This window comes from Homo sapiens, chromosome 9 (genome assembly GCF_000001405.40).
Source record: "Homo sapiens chromosome 9, GRCh38.p14 Primary Assembly".
Lineage (NCBI taxonomy): Eukaryota > Metazoa > Chordata > Mammalia > Primates > Hominidae > Homo > Homo sapiens.
Window position 1 is genome coordinate 16,094,552 of NC_000009.12, and position 15,337 is coordinate 16,109,888.

Consider the following 15,337-nt stretch of genomic DNA (forward strand, 5'->3'; position numbering starts at 1 on the left):
TCCACAAAAGGACTGATAGGGCTTTGTAGGAAAAGAAGTTATTTGGGAAAGTGGTAGGGATGTATATGGAAATGAGTTTTCTCCTCAAGAGTGGGACTATGTTAACATTCAGAGGACTTTCAGGAGATGTAGTTTCAATCCACACCTTCTACAAAACTAATATTAAAGCAAACAAGTTTGTATCTTACATGATGATATGAAATAATCAGAAAGTGTTAATAAGGAGGTCATCCAAGAAACAGGTTATTAGAAAGCAGTGTGATAGATTTGGGCAGGGACACAGATCCAAATCATCAAATCTAATTGTAATCCCCAGTGTTGAAAGAGGGGCCTGATGGAGGTGATTGGATCCTGGGGGCAGATTTCCCCGTTGCTGTCTCATGAGGGTGAGCAAGTTCTCATGAGATCTGGTTGTTTAAGTGGGTAGCACCTGGCCCATCTCCTCCTCCTGCTCTGGCCATGTGAGACGTGTATGCTTCCCTTCTCTTTCCTCTGTGATTGTAAGTTTCCTGAGGCCCCCCAGCCATGCTTCCTGTACAGCCTGCAGAACCATGAGCCAAATAAACCTCTTTTCTTTATAAATGTCTGAGTCTCAGGTATTTCTTTATAGCAGTGTGAGAAGGGACTAATATAGCATGGGATCCCAGTGCTAATGTGAAGCTCCCTCAGGAGCAGTTGTGCCTCTTACTGACTCTGAGCAAGGCAAGGACACAATCGCCTTCGGTGAGCATGGGCTGCTTTGCAGAACCTACATTCACATACGGGCCCATGGAAACATGTGGGTCAAACTGCTCTGGGGAAGAATGCTCAGAACAGATCTTATTTTCCACCAGTTCTTTCCCCTACTCCTATTCTTTTAGAACTTCCCTCAAAGATTTTCTTTCAAGCTTCTGAAATCCACACTTTCTTTCTCTCTCCCCACTCTTTCGTTTTCTCTATATCTCTCTTTCCGTCTCTGTCTCTCTTCTCTCTCACACACACGCTCTCTCTTTCTCTCTCTCTCTCGCGCACACACATACACACATGTTGAAATATGGAAAACTGTGAGTTATTAGGATAGTTATTCTAAATCACCTATTTCCCCATAGAAATGAAAGGAAGACATAAGGGTGGGGAATCATAGAGCAGGAGCTTTGGTGCCAGGCGAACCTGGTGTTGATTTGTGAATCTGACATTTGCCAGATGTGACCCTGGCTAAGGTACTGAACTTCTCTGAGCCTCAGCGTCTTTAATACTTCATAGGGCTATTTCGGTGTTGGAGTGAGTATACACACACACCCACATAGACATGTATGTGTGTATATACACACATAGGCACATATATATATATATATATATATATATATATACTGCCTCCAACATATGATATATGATATAGGGGTATGTCTATATATAATATCTAGTGCTTAGTAGGCATTTGATAAATATAATCAAATTAGTTCTATGTTTCTATACACTGTGAAGGTTTTCCTCCTTCATTGCTCATCATAGTAAATAATGGTCCCAGCATATCTTCCAACAGGTAGAATTCTCTAGAAACAAAACTTTAGCAAATATCAGCGTGGAATTTATTCATGTTTTATTTAATTACTTGGGGCATTTAATGAAAGAATGAATTATTAAATGAGAACATTGATTGTTCCCTCTGTATGGCAAGAAGATCTCTTGTGTATGCTTAAAATAACTCCATAAAATGTAGAGCAGGCCATAGTAAATTAAAGAAAGGAAGGAAAATGGAACAAGGATTGAAAACACAATTTATCCTGTAAGTCTGCATAAAGGACAACCACATCCCAATTACCCCACACCTCTGCACTCAGGATTTCCAGCTGTTTAGATGGGTGGTGAGTCCAGACCCAAAAGAGGATTATATGCTGCTACAGGAAGCAGAAGATGTGTGACTGCTATGTTCGTGAGTTAAAAGAAAGCAAGCTCTTTGGTTAGTATGTGCCTCTAGACCCCTGTACCTTGCTTTATCCTGCCGTGTGTCCTGGAAGTCTTGTTCTTTAACTTCTCACTTGTTCTTTGTCCAGCGGAAGCCCTAGATGGATATGGAAGGGAGGGAGAAGAGAAAGTTTGAGGTATTTATCCCCTGGTCCTCTCAAGTGAGGCTACTGCCTCTGTTCAGTGGGGTGTTTCTCCATGACACACTTCTTGCAAGTTCTAGAAACCACTCCCTTTCCTCATCCACTTGGGGCTAGAGGTAGTGATAGCTCCCTTGTTTTTAGACCCAGCGTACTGCACCATCCAGAGTGAAACAGAAGGTAGTTCACTCTGCCCACACTTTGTAGATAGTACTTTTGTTAAGCCCTTCTAGAGTTCTAATTTGAGCATACCACCTGTTTCCTACTGGGACCTTGAATGGTACAATTAGCACTGATGAAAGCCAAGTCTCCCTGATACCAAAGGCTGAGAAAATGGAAGGAAAGGAGGCAAAAGGGGAAAATAGAAATTCGGAAAGAAGAAGAGAGGTTCATGAGGGTGATGAAGGGTATCCTTGGAGAACAGAGGAGGAGAGAAGGCACGATGCAAAATGGAGTAACACCCACTGAGCGAATAGGGGGAAGAAGCTGAAACCCAACCCATGAGGCTGGCCTATCATGCTGAGGCTCCCCAGCCCTGGAACCCCAGGTGTCAAGGTAAAACCATACAAGCCAGTCCGAACAGATGAGATAGAATGCTTATGGCATGTGGGGAAATTGGTTCCCACTTAGGTCAGTAACCTCTGAGTGCCTCACTGTATTAAGACACAATCTAAGGGTGGATGGTTATGGTTTGTATATGCTAGTGTCTAAGAGAAAAAGCTAAATTACATCCCATATATTCCAAAAGGGAAAGCAATATTTTTTGAAGGCCTACTCATTGTCAGAACAGGTGTATTTTAATCCCCACAGCATCCAGAAAATAGAATGGCATTATTCTCATTTTATTAGGTGAGGAAGTGTGTTCAGTGAAATTAAGTACTGAAGCTTGCTTGAAGCTACACAGCTAGTGTGTTTCACAGGCAGGAGCTGAACACAACCTTTTGGATTTCAATGAGCAAGCATACTATCTCAAAAAAGGATGAATCTTTACCTAGCATGATCCTTGAATGTTTCCAGTAGATGAGGCATGACCATATACTTCTATGTTCTGCTAGTTTTGCCAGGGCAAGCCTTGCTAAGACTGCCCTGGGTTTAAGGTGCACCATTTACAAAGAGGCTCATTGAGATAAATAAGTGCATCTCTCAGAACGAATCTGATCTGTGTTATCGGTGAGAATCCAGACACAGCATCATTGAACTTCAAATGTTGCTACTGAGTTAGAGAGAAAAAGAGACTGACTGACTTGCATTTCTGCCTTCTTTGCACCCCATGCATCCTGCCCTAGGTGGTGATCAACTTTATGTTGGTACCAGTCAGCTTCATGTTAGGAAATGTTATATGGAACTAGCAGTTAGCAGTGCCTACTGTGAGAAATAAGGAGCTAGTCCGAGCTTTAAAGGGAAAGAGACACGAAAACAATCAGCGTAGCCTTTGTAGCCAAGTGTTTTGTTCAATGCAATCCATTAGTTATTGAGAACATACACATCACGGTTTAAGTCAGAGTTCGGCTATCTTTTAGCTGAGAGACTTTGGGCTAGCTAACATCGCTGAGCCTTTTTTCCCCTAATGCATAAAATGGGGCTAATATTATTACCCTAACTTACAGGGTCATTTTGAAGAGTTCATTACATTCAAGCATGAACATGTGCTTTAAAGTGTTTAAAATGTAGTGGGTCAAAACAAATGGTCTCTAGTGTCATCATCACCATCATTGTTGTCGTCGTCGTCATCATCATCAAGGACTTCATAGCCTGGTTGGAAGAATATGTGAATAAGAGCTGCTATTTAGAAAAAAATGTGTTCATTCTGAGCAGTTTCCCTCAGAAGGAGAATAAGAAAGCTGGCTTTGGTCCACACTCTTGAGTGTTGGAGTAAGCCACCTAATTTCCCTGAGCCCCAGTTTTGGCATATGTACAATGGGCTGATCATATGTCCGCTTCCCAGTGTACTGTGTTAATGAAGTCGATGAAATGAAATCTAGTACCTTAGAACACAGAATTACAAGGGATTAAGAGTGCTCCTAACTTAAAACACTACTAGTTGGGTTTTTGCCACCTTGAATTGCTGTCTCAATTCACAACCAGTGTTTTAAAGATCCCTTTCTGTTTTCAAAAACAATTTATTGATCCATTTTCCTATGGAATATTCCCCCTTTGAAGAAATAGACTTACATGTGTTAGCCAGAGAAAGCATCTAAATTGGGAGTGGGGGAGCAATGATGGTACAGTGTGCTGTGCACATATGTGGGCACGGATGTTCCTAGAAAAATTGAGACTGCTCTGAGGATTTCCAGTGCCAAGTCCTGCATCAGGGAGGGCTCATTTTGTAGCTCTGACATAGGATGGATATAATAAGCCCTTATTTGGGAAAGCTTTCATTTGGGGGAAGATTTTTAATAATTTTTCTTAAAACTGAAAAACTGGTCAATATCAAATCCAGTTGATTCCAGACTGTTTAGAGAGTGACTGTCATGTGTAAGACCCTGGGTTTGAAAAATTCATCTCTTTAAGGCTTATTTAAAACATCAATTTTTTGCTAATTCTTGGAGATTTAATAAAGCACCACCAGGCTTTTAGATACCCTTAGAGGGGTTAACATCAGAATTCTTCTTAGGAGCCTTGGTCTGTGCCATTGGGGTGCACCCTGTTCCCCCTGGTTTATTCTGCTAAGTTTCATTTCACAACAGAGGAAAAGTGGCAGAGGAGCCTCCAGGCTGGGAACATGGATGGGAAACGCCATCGCAGTGGCTCTCAGAAGGTTCTGGTGAGCAAGGCTTCACAAACACAGGGCAAAGATGTGGCAGGTGAAGAAGCACAAGGGAGCGTGATGCAACCTGAAGACGAATCAGCTGTTTCTGATTTATTGTTGCACACCATTTTCTAAGCATTTCTGATGTCCTTTTCATAAGAAAAATGCCATGAGCTTCCCTAGCGACTTCTGAAACAAGTCTCTGAGAAGCAGCTTGTGGAAGGCACCTTTGTAGGAGGTGCATGAAGGGGGCATCCAAACTCCCATGAGTCCATCCCAGTTTGCCATATTCGTGGGCTTCTGGTGGGTGACCACAGTCTGCACTGATTTGGCAATGAGATAGTCTCAACAAGAAAGAGATCGCACAACAAAGTCATTTAACAAGGACAATGATTAAGAAAAAGACTCAAATAGATCCTCTTCTGCAAGTGGTTAGGGAACTCAGAACAGACACAAGTTAGTGCATGTTGGCCAAATATGAAGATGGAAAGAAAGAATGATTATAAAGACATCCACCCACCCTCTCACTGGCCATTGCTTGCCTGTGGAAAAAGGCCAGTCTATGACAAACTAGAGACTCTTTGAGAAACCAACGCTGTATGGAGATAGCTTTCAAGTTAAAAAAAAAAAAAGAAAAATCTAATCCAGGCTTTGCAAAACATCAGTGAATGCATGTAATACCAGCAAAACCTGAGCTTTCAATAAATCAGAAAACAATGGGGGCATTGTCTGAACTCACCAAACAGTCCTTCGCTCCCACAGCACAGAACACTCTAATCTGTGTGCAGCCAAAACTCAGCCCCATCTTATTGAACTAAATTGATTTATGAGAGGAAAAACCTAAAAAGGGAAGCAGCAAAATGATGATATTAATTCTAATAATGCATTGACTGGTGCTTATATAAATCACTCTCCCCACTCAGATTGATTTCATCCGAGTAAAAACGCCATGCATAAGCCTATCTCCAGCCGCTCAGCTCAGGCAGCTACCTCAGGCCTCCTCTTGCAGATAGAGCTCAGGATAAAGGGTGGGGGGTCTGGTGGAAGTTCACAGGTATTTTGCCTGAGAAAGGCCTGTGGGATCAGCCCCAGAGGTATCGATGTAATTGGCCACACACACAAATGTTGCGGCATCTGAACATTTTTGGCAGCTCATGAAAGCTCCTTTCCTAGAGGCCACTTGAGTGTCCAAATAAAAGGGGATTTTTGTTAGTGAGAACTGGAAAGAATAACCCATCTTAGGATCAGGCTAATAGGGCCTGGCCTGGTAAAATGTAACACTGGGCTGGCCAGAGTTGGAAGTGTTGCTGGCAAGGGTTGGAAGCAGCTGCGAGGAGAGCCAAGCCTCGCTCCCAAGGAAAACTCTTCTGCTGGTTCAGGGGAGTTTTCTGTAGCCCAGAGAGCCTGTCAGGCGCCCCCCACCCCGCCCCCCACCAAGGGCAAGAGCTTCTGTTGGGGCAGATGGGAGGGGGCCTGGGGTGGTTTCTTGCTCCCCCTTCACCCAAGCTCTCCTCTCCGATTCCCTACCCCATCCCCCAGGCTCTGTGATTCTAGGCAAGCGAGCCTCTGTGGCTGACCTCTGTGGCCTGTTGCTGCACACAGCCTGGGAACGGCAGTTGCTCTCAGTGAGTATGCAGGGTGTTGACAGGCTCAGGCTGAAGGAGCTAGGAGGGAAGCAGAGAAAGCCGGGCTGCAGAAATAAGGCCACAGAGGCCTTCTCTTATCACCAAAGGGCCCCCAGCTGAAGAAAGGTCTACTGCTTCTTGCTACACAAAGGAAATACATTCTGCTGCAAGCCAGTCTCTGCCTTTCAGCAGAGCCTGTAGGCTCTCCACCTAGGGTGGCCAGGTAACATACAGGGCACCCAGTTAAATTTGAATCTCAGATGAACAATGAATAATATTTTAGTATACATAGGTCCTGAATATTGTGTGAGAAATAATTAAAATGTATTGTTTATCTGAATTTCAAATTTAATTGGGCATCTTGTATTTTTATTTCTTCTATTAGGCAGAATTCTGAGATGCTCCCCAGTGACCCTCCCTCTGGTATAATGTCTTACCCCAAAGTGTAGGTGAAACCCGTGAATGTGATGCAACATCACTCCTGTGATTATGTTACACTACATGGCAAAAGGGATTTTTGCAAATGCAATTAAGCTCACTAATCAGTTGACTTTATCAAGTTAAAGAGCAAATTATCTGGGTGTGCCTAACCAAACTACATGAACCCTTTAATTCTGGGTCTAGAGTCCAGAGAAAAAGGAAGTCAGGCCTTTGAAGCAGTAGAAAATTGTCCAGTGACCTTGAAGGAGCAAACTGCTGTGTTGTGGAGAAGGCCACAGGGCAGGGAAGAGTGGTCAGCCCCTAGGAGCTAAGAATAGCCTCCAGTTGACAGCCAGGAAGAAAGCAGGGAACCTCAGCTCCATGCTGCAATGAACTGGGTTCTGCCAACAACCTGAGAGCTGGGAAGAAGCCCCAAGCCTCGGACAAGATGGCAGGCCTGGCCAACACCTTGACTTTGGCTGTGTGAGACCTGAGTAGAGAACCTGTCCAGAACATGCCAGACTCCTGAACCAGGGAAACTTTGAGGTATAAAAATACACGTTGTTTTAAGCTGCCGAGTTTGTGGTAATGTGTTCTGCAGCAATAGTAAACCAAAACACCTATTAAATCTGGCAGCCCTCCCTGCATCCTGTGGTCTCCAGCGTACACTTACAGGGGTTTCTGGTGTAGGCACCAAGGACTGAAGATGAAGAACAGTAAAGGAAACAGATGCACTGGACTAACTCCTGTGAGCCTCCTCCACAGTCAAAGAGCAGGGCTAGAAGGGAAATTACGATATTGTCTGTTTTGGTGTCCGTGTCCTGGCCTCCTGGACCCTGCAGCCCCAACATCTCAGTTGAGATCTGTAGACATATACACACGCGCTTGCTCTCCTACACACCTTCCTTTCCAGGGAGGATTGCGGGGGATGAGCTTGTCACTTGTCTCAGACGGATGTAGTTGCTGGCTCGCTAAGTAAACAGGTCATCTCAGCCAAAGTTCATTATGGATCTGAAGCTGTAGAAACAGATGCATTTCATGTAAGGATAAACGTGTGTTGGGGGGGGGCGGGGGTGGGGGCAGGGGGGAGGGTGGGTACAAATATAAACAGGGAAGGTGAAACCGTCTAGAACCTCCTTAGGCATGGATTAAGTTTCTGTGAAGATCATGTAAATAAGCCCTCATAGTCTACAAGAAACTCGGATATCTTTTTTAAAAGGGTCAGAAGATCTGTTTGTGTTTTGCAATTCTCCAAATGTTCTTCTGCTTATGGATTCCCCTAAATTCACTTTCCAACAGCTCTTCGTCCCCCTGGCCTCATGCTGCCCTTGAAAGTGGCCGGAGGAAACTCTTAGGTGTCAGGCAGTCAGCATGGAGAGCTTCTTTTCATCCCCTGAGTGTCTGGAGATGTGAGTTTAATGAGAGGCATCGACCTTTGAATTATACAAATGGACCTCTTTAGCAATCACTTCCCTCCCCAGTCCATACCCACCCTCAGCTTTTAATCTTCTCAATTATATTTCCTTTCCATTGATTACTACTTTGCTAACTTTCGGATTGAGCAGGCAGAAAACCTCAGCCGCACAGGTAATGCAATTGCTCTTCAAGCTTTGACGCCTGCGTCTCACCTCCTGAGGGGACCTGCAGGCCCCCCTCCCACCCTTTTGGGTCTTGGCAGGTCCATCGGCCTTCAATTGATTTTGCAAGATGGCCCCTTCCATCCAAAGAGCTGTGCAATCCTGGTTAGGAAGATGGAGTTTCAGTTCTGAGCTTTAAGTAACAAAGATAAGGGGGATTTGCATGCTGGCAGGGTGTGAGAAGGGCACTCACAGTCACCAGCTGTTTGCAGCTAGGCCTGGGAGTGGGCAAGGGATGGGCCTGGGAGCAGGGAGATCTGGGTTCCTTCCCCACCTCTGCTCTGATTTTTTGAGTGACCTTCATTGAACCACTTAACTTTCTGTGCTTTCCTCTCACTGCCATCTGTAAGGGGGAAGACAACGGCACTTGTCTGTGAAAATGCTTTGAGGGATACTGGCATAAAAGATGCAATGTAAAAGCAAGTGATGGGCAATGTTTTCCATAAAGAGCCCCTTGTTTTCATCTGCAGGAGGCCTCATTTGAAGGCTAAGAAGAAAAATTGAGAAATGTCCTTGGTAGCCGAGGCCAGGCAGAGGACGTGGCTTGGGACCTGTTAGAAATCCCTTCTGTGGCTGGGGGCTCCTGCGCTGCTGCCGGGATGTGAGCTCAGCAAGGGGCATGCTGGGAATTGGCCTGCAGAACAAACAGATCCGAGGTCTCTGCACCGAGCAGGACCAAGGGCCATATCAGGATTAGCCCAGTGACCTGACAAGCGGCGAGGGGGGCCTGCCCCCCAGTGATTTACGGGCTTTGACGCATGGACTCCGGGGGGGCTGGGGGAGAGTCAGAGAAATTTGGGGACGTGTTCAAAACTGGAGGTCGTCCAGAGGAAATTACTCAATAAAAACCAGCTTTCTCTAACTGAATAGATCAATTTACAGCTCATAAGGTGGAAAAAGTCTGAGACTTCAAGATGCCGGCTGGTGGGTCTCCTAAGGTTTCCTCCCTTGGCAGAGAGGCTGTGGCTTTGGCTTTTTTACCCTGGGTACCCCTTCTGTAGCTTTCAGGGCCAGCATTTTTCTTTCTTCTTGTTTTCCTCTTTCTCTGTTACTTAAATTTAGCTGGTTAAGATTCTTTCCCTCCTCTCCTTCTTCTTACAAGCCTCCCACTTTCAACTTTCACCTCCCTACAGTCCTCTCAGAAAAGCCCCTGTTGTTTTTGTCATCCTAATGGCACAGATTCTCCTCTAAGCTCCCCCTTCCCAGCTGCCTCCCCCTCCCCACGGCTCATCTCAACATCCCTTCTCCCTCTGTTTTTCTCTTAGGTCTCCAAAGCTCCTGCCTTTCTCTTCCAGCTGCCCGTGGTCTGTGCTGCTGCATACCTCTCACCCCTCTATTTCTCCCTCTCTGCCTTTTGTCTTCCCAGCCTTTCTCTTTGGCTGTACTTTTTGGCCTTTCTCAGCTGCTGGCCAAGTAATTCATCATGAGCATCCAGGAACACCTTCACCTATTGACTGAGCTGCTTTAAGCTACACTGGACCCACAGAGATTTCAGGGAGGCAGGATTACAGGAAGATGGACAGGGCCCAGATGTAGTGGCACTGAAATTCCATCATCCATCAATCATTCATCCATCCATGCACCCATCATCATCCATCCATCCATTCATCCACCCACCCATCCACCCACCCGTTCACCCAAGCCTTCATTTAATCATATCATTCATTGCTTTTTTTTTTTCATTCAAAAAACATTCATTGAACATGTACTATATGCCAGGCATTGGGCTAGGCACTTGAGAGAGAATGATGACCAAATATAGATGTGGGCCTTGACCTACGGGGCTCAGCAGAAGAGGCAGACATAAGTAATCACAGATAACAATGTAAAACTCCAGTAAGAGCTAAGGAGAGATGTAGGTACCAGCAGACCATCTCATTGGGATTTGACCTACTTAGGAGTGAAGTATTAAGTGGAGGTCTGAAGGCTGAGGGGAGAGAAGATGCAGGCAGTAAGGAAAGCTCTTGATAAAGCCTGGCCCTCCTCATCCCTACCAAATTCCCTCCCATTTGCTTGCCAAAGACTAAAATTCTTTTAGCAGAAGTCAAGGCTGTTAGGCTACAGACTTCAAATGCAACACATCCTATGAGACGGCAGCAGTGACTTAAATATATTTGGGCTATGTGTAAATAATGGATATTAATCTTTCCCTGGGAACAGGCCTTGTTAGAGGATAGAAGGGACATTTAATATCTGAGGGCGGGAGAAGTGTGGGGAAGAAGGCATCCCTAACAAGTTGATGGTACCTAGGACGCTGGCACTCCCTCTATACTGTGCCAGGAGTGGGCTCAGGAAAAAGCACACACTCCCTGTCCACCTGCTGTTCCATGTGTCACTTGGCTGGCCTGACAAACTTTGGAGACCAGGCAGTTCTTGAAGTCCAGCACCCCCCCCTTCTCTTTTTCAGTGGCACTGGTCACAAATTCAAAGTGGACATCAGATTTCATGGCTTGATGGCCTCGTAATTGTTATTGGAACTAGCCTTGGATGGATTTACGGTAATGAACTCATCTAACAGCAAACCCGTCACGGGCCTCTCTGCAGACAGGATCTTTCCTGAGTGAAGATAATAGAAAACCATTCTGTAAAGGAAAAGCAATACTGACTGGTGACTTTGACTTCAAGTTTAGGAAAAAAACACCACTGTTTGGGTTTTTCTGTTGGCCTCTAACTTTAAATGCTACATTGGCCAGTTGCTAACCAACACGGTTTTTGGCCAGAGTCCTGTTTATGTTGGCACCAAATGTATGTATCACAAGCAATTTGTGTATTTCTGGGCATGTGTGTATGAGTTTGTATATATTATAAACTCCAAAACTTTGAACACAAGGTTTTGTACTCTTTTTACAGATTCTTCTGGCCAAGAAAACAGGCCACTGGCAGGCAGGGCATCCATTTGCATTAACGACCTGCTTTCAGGCCACCACACCCCATCGCAGCCACCCTTTGGCTTGGTCCAACGTGGCACTAAACTCTGGCCTCTCTGGACCCCTGTCCTATTGAGTTATGAATGAATGAGGTGGCCCCTGCCCAGCAAGAGGGATTCCGGGGACAGTGGATGTTTTCTGTGTCACCTCAGTCTGCAGGCAAATCATCAAGAATGCTTGGGATATGGAGTTTTCTCCTAACAGGGGCCAGAAAGGCTCCATGTTTTTGTGGCTTGGCATTAAGCAAACAACTGCTTTTTTGTTCTCTCCTCAAATTATTTGCCCAAACAAAAGGCAGCTGTCATGGGGAGAAAAGTAGGATTTTTCCAGCGTTTGCCCCTTTCTGCGCCCCTCGCACAGCATGCTTTTGGACTCCGCATTTCCGTAGCTCAGTGTCAGATTTCCAGCCTGCAGAAATGCTCCAGAATGTGAAGCCACCTTCTGCCTCTCCCGGGCCTCCCAACCCAGTGCAATTCCGGAGCTAAAGGCAGCATTCACAGGATGGCACCTTCTCTCTCCAAAACCCCAAAGGGTTTCCCAAGCCTGTAAACTGTGAATTAGAAACATTCCTTCAGGGACTAACAGTTTGGATAAACAGTGAATTCCAGAACAAAGGTTGTTTTCCCTCAAACTCCTATTTCTTTAGAAAGTTGAGAAGTCAGATCTTCCGCCTAACAAGGGATTGTTATTTAATTGAGAGTCATCTTTTAGAAAAGACATGGCTTATCATTTGTATCTCATTAGAATATGGTAAAATATGCTAAACAATAAAACTAAATGCTAGAGAATTTAATCTTCCTCTGAGGCTTTTTGGGATTAGGCCATGTCCTTATCTGCCCAGCACACTCAGGGTTTTCCTGCAAGACTTGGGCCAGGTGTCACCCTCCAGGTTCAGGACTTCTATACCATCTACCCTGGAGCCACCCTCACTGCCCTCCTGCAAAACCGGGGGACCCAGGCTGCCTCTTCTGCCTCCCCTAGCTCTCGCAGCACTGTCTTGGCTCAGTGTTTGCACTCTTCATTCTGAAATAATTTCAGACTTATAGAAAAGTTGCCAAAAGAGTATAAGGAATTCCTGTATACCAGTGTTTCTCAACCCTTTTCTGATTGTCACCCCTAAAGAAATTTGCAGACATTTTTTTCCTAATCACCCTCATATATGAATTTTCTTTTAGAGACAAGGCCTCGCTCTGTCACCCAGGCTGGAGTGCGGTGGTATGATCATAGCTCACTGCAGCCTTAAATTCCTGGGCTCAAGCGATTCTCCCACCTTAGCCTCCTGAGTAGCTGGGACCACAGGCATGTGACCATGCCTGGCTCCTGACATGAAATTCGAATACCCAAATATACTCTATATCTGCTTATGGACTTTACGTATATCTGAGCTCTATATGTAAAAAGTAAGGTTTCTTTTATCCCCAAGAACAATTTTTATTCCCTTGGGTATGATATTGCCCCCATGGAGAATGTATTTTATATACCATTTACACAAGTTCCCCAAATGCTAATATTTTACCATATTTGCTTTACTGTTCTCTCTCTAAATGTGTGTGTGTATCACACACACACATATACATATATGCATAAATATACCCATTTGTACGTACACATATATACATACACATATGTAAACAATATATATACATGTAAGTGTTTTTTTCTGAACTATTTGAGAGTAAGTTGCAAAAACATGTCTCTTAACCCCTAAATATTTTAGAAAGCATTTCTTATAAACAATGACTTTCTTGACAAAAAAAATTTTAAACATTTTCATCTCGTTCCACATGGCCATAAGTTTCTCAAGGTCAGGAGCCTATGTCTTAATCATTTTCGGAGACTGAGTATCAGGATAGGGCCTGGTATGTAGTAGGAGCTATTATGAAAGAATACATTTCATTATAATGTAGCATATGCCATGCATTTATACATAATTTATACATAATGTAACTATTATAAAGTGAAAGCTTTATTTCAATATAAATGATATCAAATATAGAGTACTACGCATAATAAAAAAATACATTGTTGCTGGCAAGTGAATGGAAAGTTCAGGGTCAGCGGTATAAACTTCAGTCGCAAAGTATTCTATAGTTTCAGAAGCCGGAAGAAAGTGGGTGGAAAATTTACAGATTTTGGAAATTGCTTCAGAATCAGTAAATAACAAAATTGGAGGCTACTTATGGGAGGTCAGTGTCATAGGCCGAGAATGATACTCCAATCAGTTGAGCTTTCCAGTCATTTGTAGGAGTCTGCCCTTCCAGGCTCAACATGTATTCTGTTCTTTGGGAGGCAGCAATGATCCAGTAACTCAAACACTTTGTCTTCTTGCTTTTACTTACAAAGATTTATTAACCACCTACCACTTAACATGTAAATATTGGAGGCTTGTGAATTTTATTTCTTATTTTCTATGTGTTAGAAAAAAATTAGTGACCTAACTTCTATTTCCCTTGATTTCCTTGATTGCAGAATGAGTGTCCCCATAGTATGCTCTGTGCCGCCCATAGGCACTAGTTAATGTGGCACTGAGGATGTCAGAGGCAGATTCTTCATGGATTCTGAAGTGAGCAGACTTAGAATAGGATTTCAGGGACTGAATGACCCACGTAGAACTTCTTTCAGAAATTCGGCATCACATGTATGAATATACTCAGTCCGAATAAACCTCCATTCCACAAAGCATGTAAGAGATGGACAGTTGGCCCTTTGTGTTCACAGGTCTGCATCTGCCAGTTCAGCCGGCCCTGACTGAAAATATTTGGGAAAAAAATTACAATTAAAAAGTAAGAATATTCACCTTCTGCCATGAGCAAAAGCCTCCTGAAGCCTCACCAGAAGCTGAACAAATGCTGGCGTCATGCTTGTACATCCTGCAGAAACGTGAGCCAAATAAATATCTTTTCTTTATATTAAAAAAGGAACAATGTAACAATAAAAACATAAATGTTTAAAAATACAGTATAACACCAATTTACATAGCATTTACATTGCATTAAGTATTATAAGTAATCTAAAGATGATTTTAAAGTATATGGTAGGATGTACGTAGATTATATGCAATTTTATATTATGGACTTAAGCATCTGAGGATTATGGTGTGGCGGGGGCGGGGGGAGGGCCTGGAATCAAGCCCTCACAGATAATTGACTTTGTGATAAATTGCTTTTGCTGAAGTGAGTTTACCAATAATGACACAATGTTATTTGACAGTCCTGAGCATAAATGAAAAAAAAAATGTTGTTGGTACTTAATATTCTGATCACAATTTAAACATTTTCTTGACTTCCTTGCAGACAGCTAACCCCTCCATTGTGTCCTTGAGACTTCTTGTCTCCATGCAGACTTAGGAGACAGCTTCTTCACTAAGTGATCCCAAATCTCATGAGAGAGTGCTAGAACTTAGGGGGTTGTTTGGGGTGGGGCTGAGAAGGATGTGAGGTTCAATAAAAATAGAGCAAGAGGGTGGGGTGCAGTGGCTCACACCTGTAATCCCAGCACTTTGGGAGGGTGAGGCACACAGATCACCGGAGGTCAGAAATTTGAGACCAGCCTGGCTAAGATGGTGAAACCCCGCTTCTACTAAAAATACAAAAATTAGCCGGGTATGGTGGCACATGCCTGTAATCCCAGTATTTGGGAGGCTGAGGCAGGAGAATTGCTTGAACCTGGGAGGCAGAGGTTGCAGTGAGCAGAGATCAGGCCACTGCACTCCAGCCTAGGTGACAGAGCAAGACTCCATCGCATATATGTGTATATATATTGTATGTATTTACATATATATGTATATTATATATAGTACATACATATGTATATTATATATGTACATATACGTATATATATATATACACACACACAATATATATACACACTCACACACACACACAGAGCAAGAGGA

At 43.8% G+C, this 15,337-nt stretch overlaps 1 protein-coding gene across 1 annotated transcript in view; it reads left to right on the forward strand.

Annotated features, from left to right (window-relative positions):
• CCDC171 (coiled-coil domain containing 171) overlaps nucleotides 1-14,375 on the forward strand; it is a 556,042-nt gene extending 541,667 nt beyond the window's left edge. The window contains exon 28 of the transcript XR_007061261.1: nucleotides 14,161-14,375. The gene's annotated coding sequence lies outside the window, so the exon portion shown is untranslated. The remainder of the gene's footprint in view (nucleotides 1-14,160) is intronic.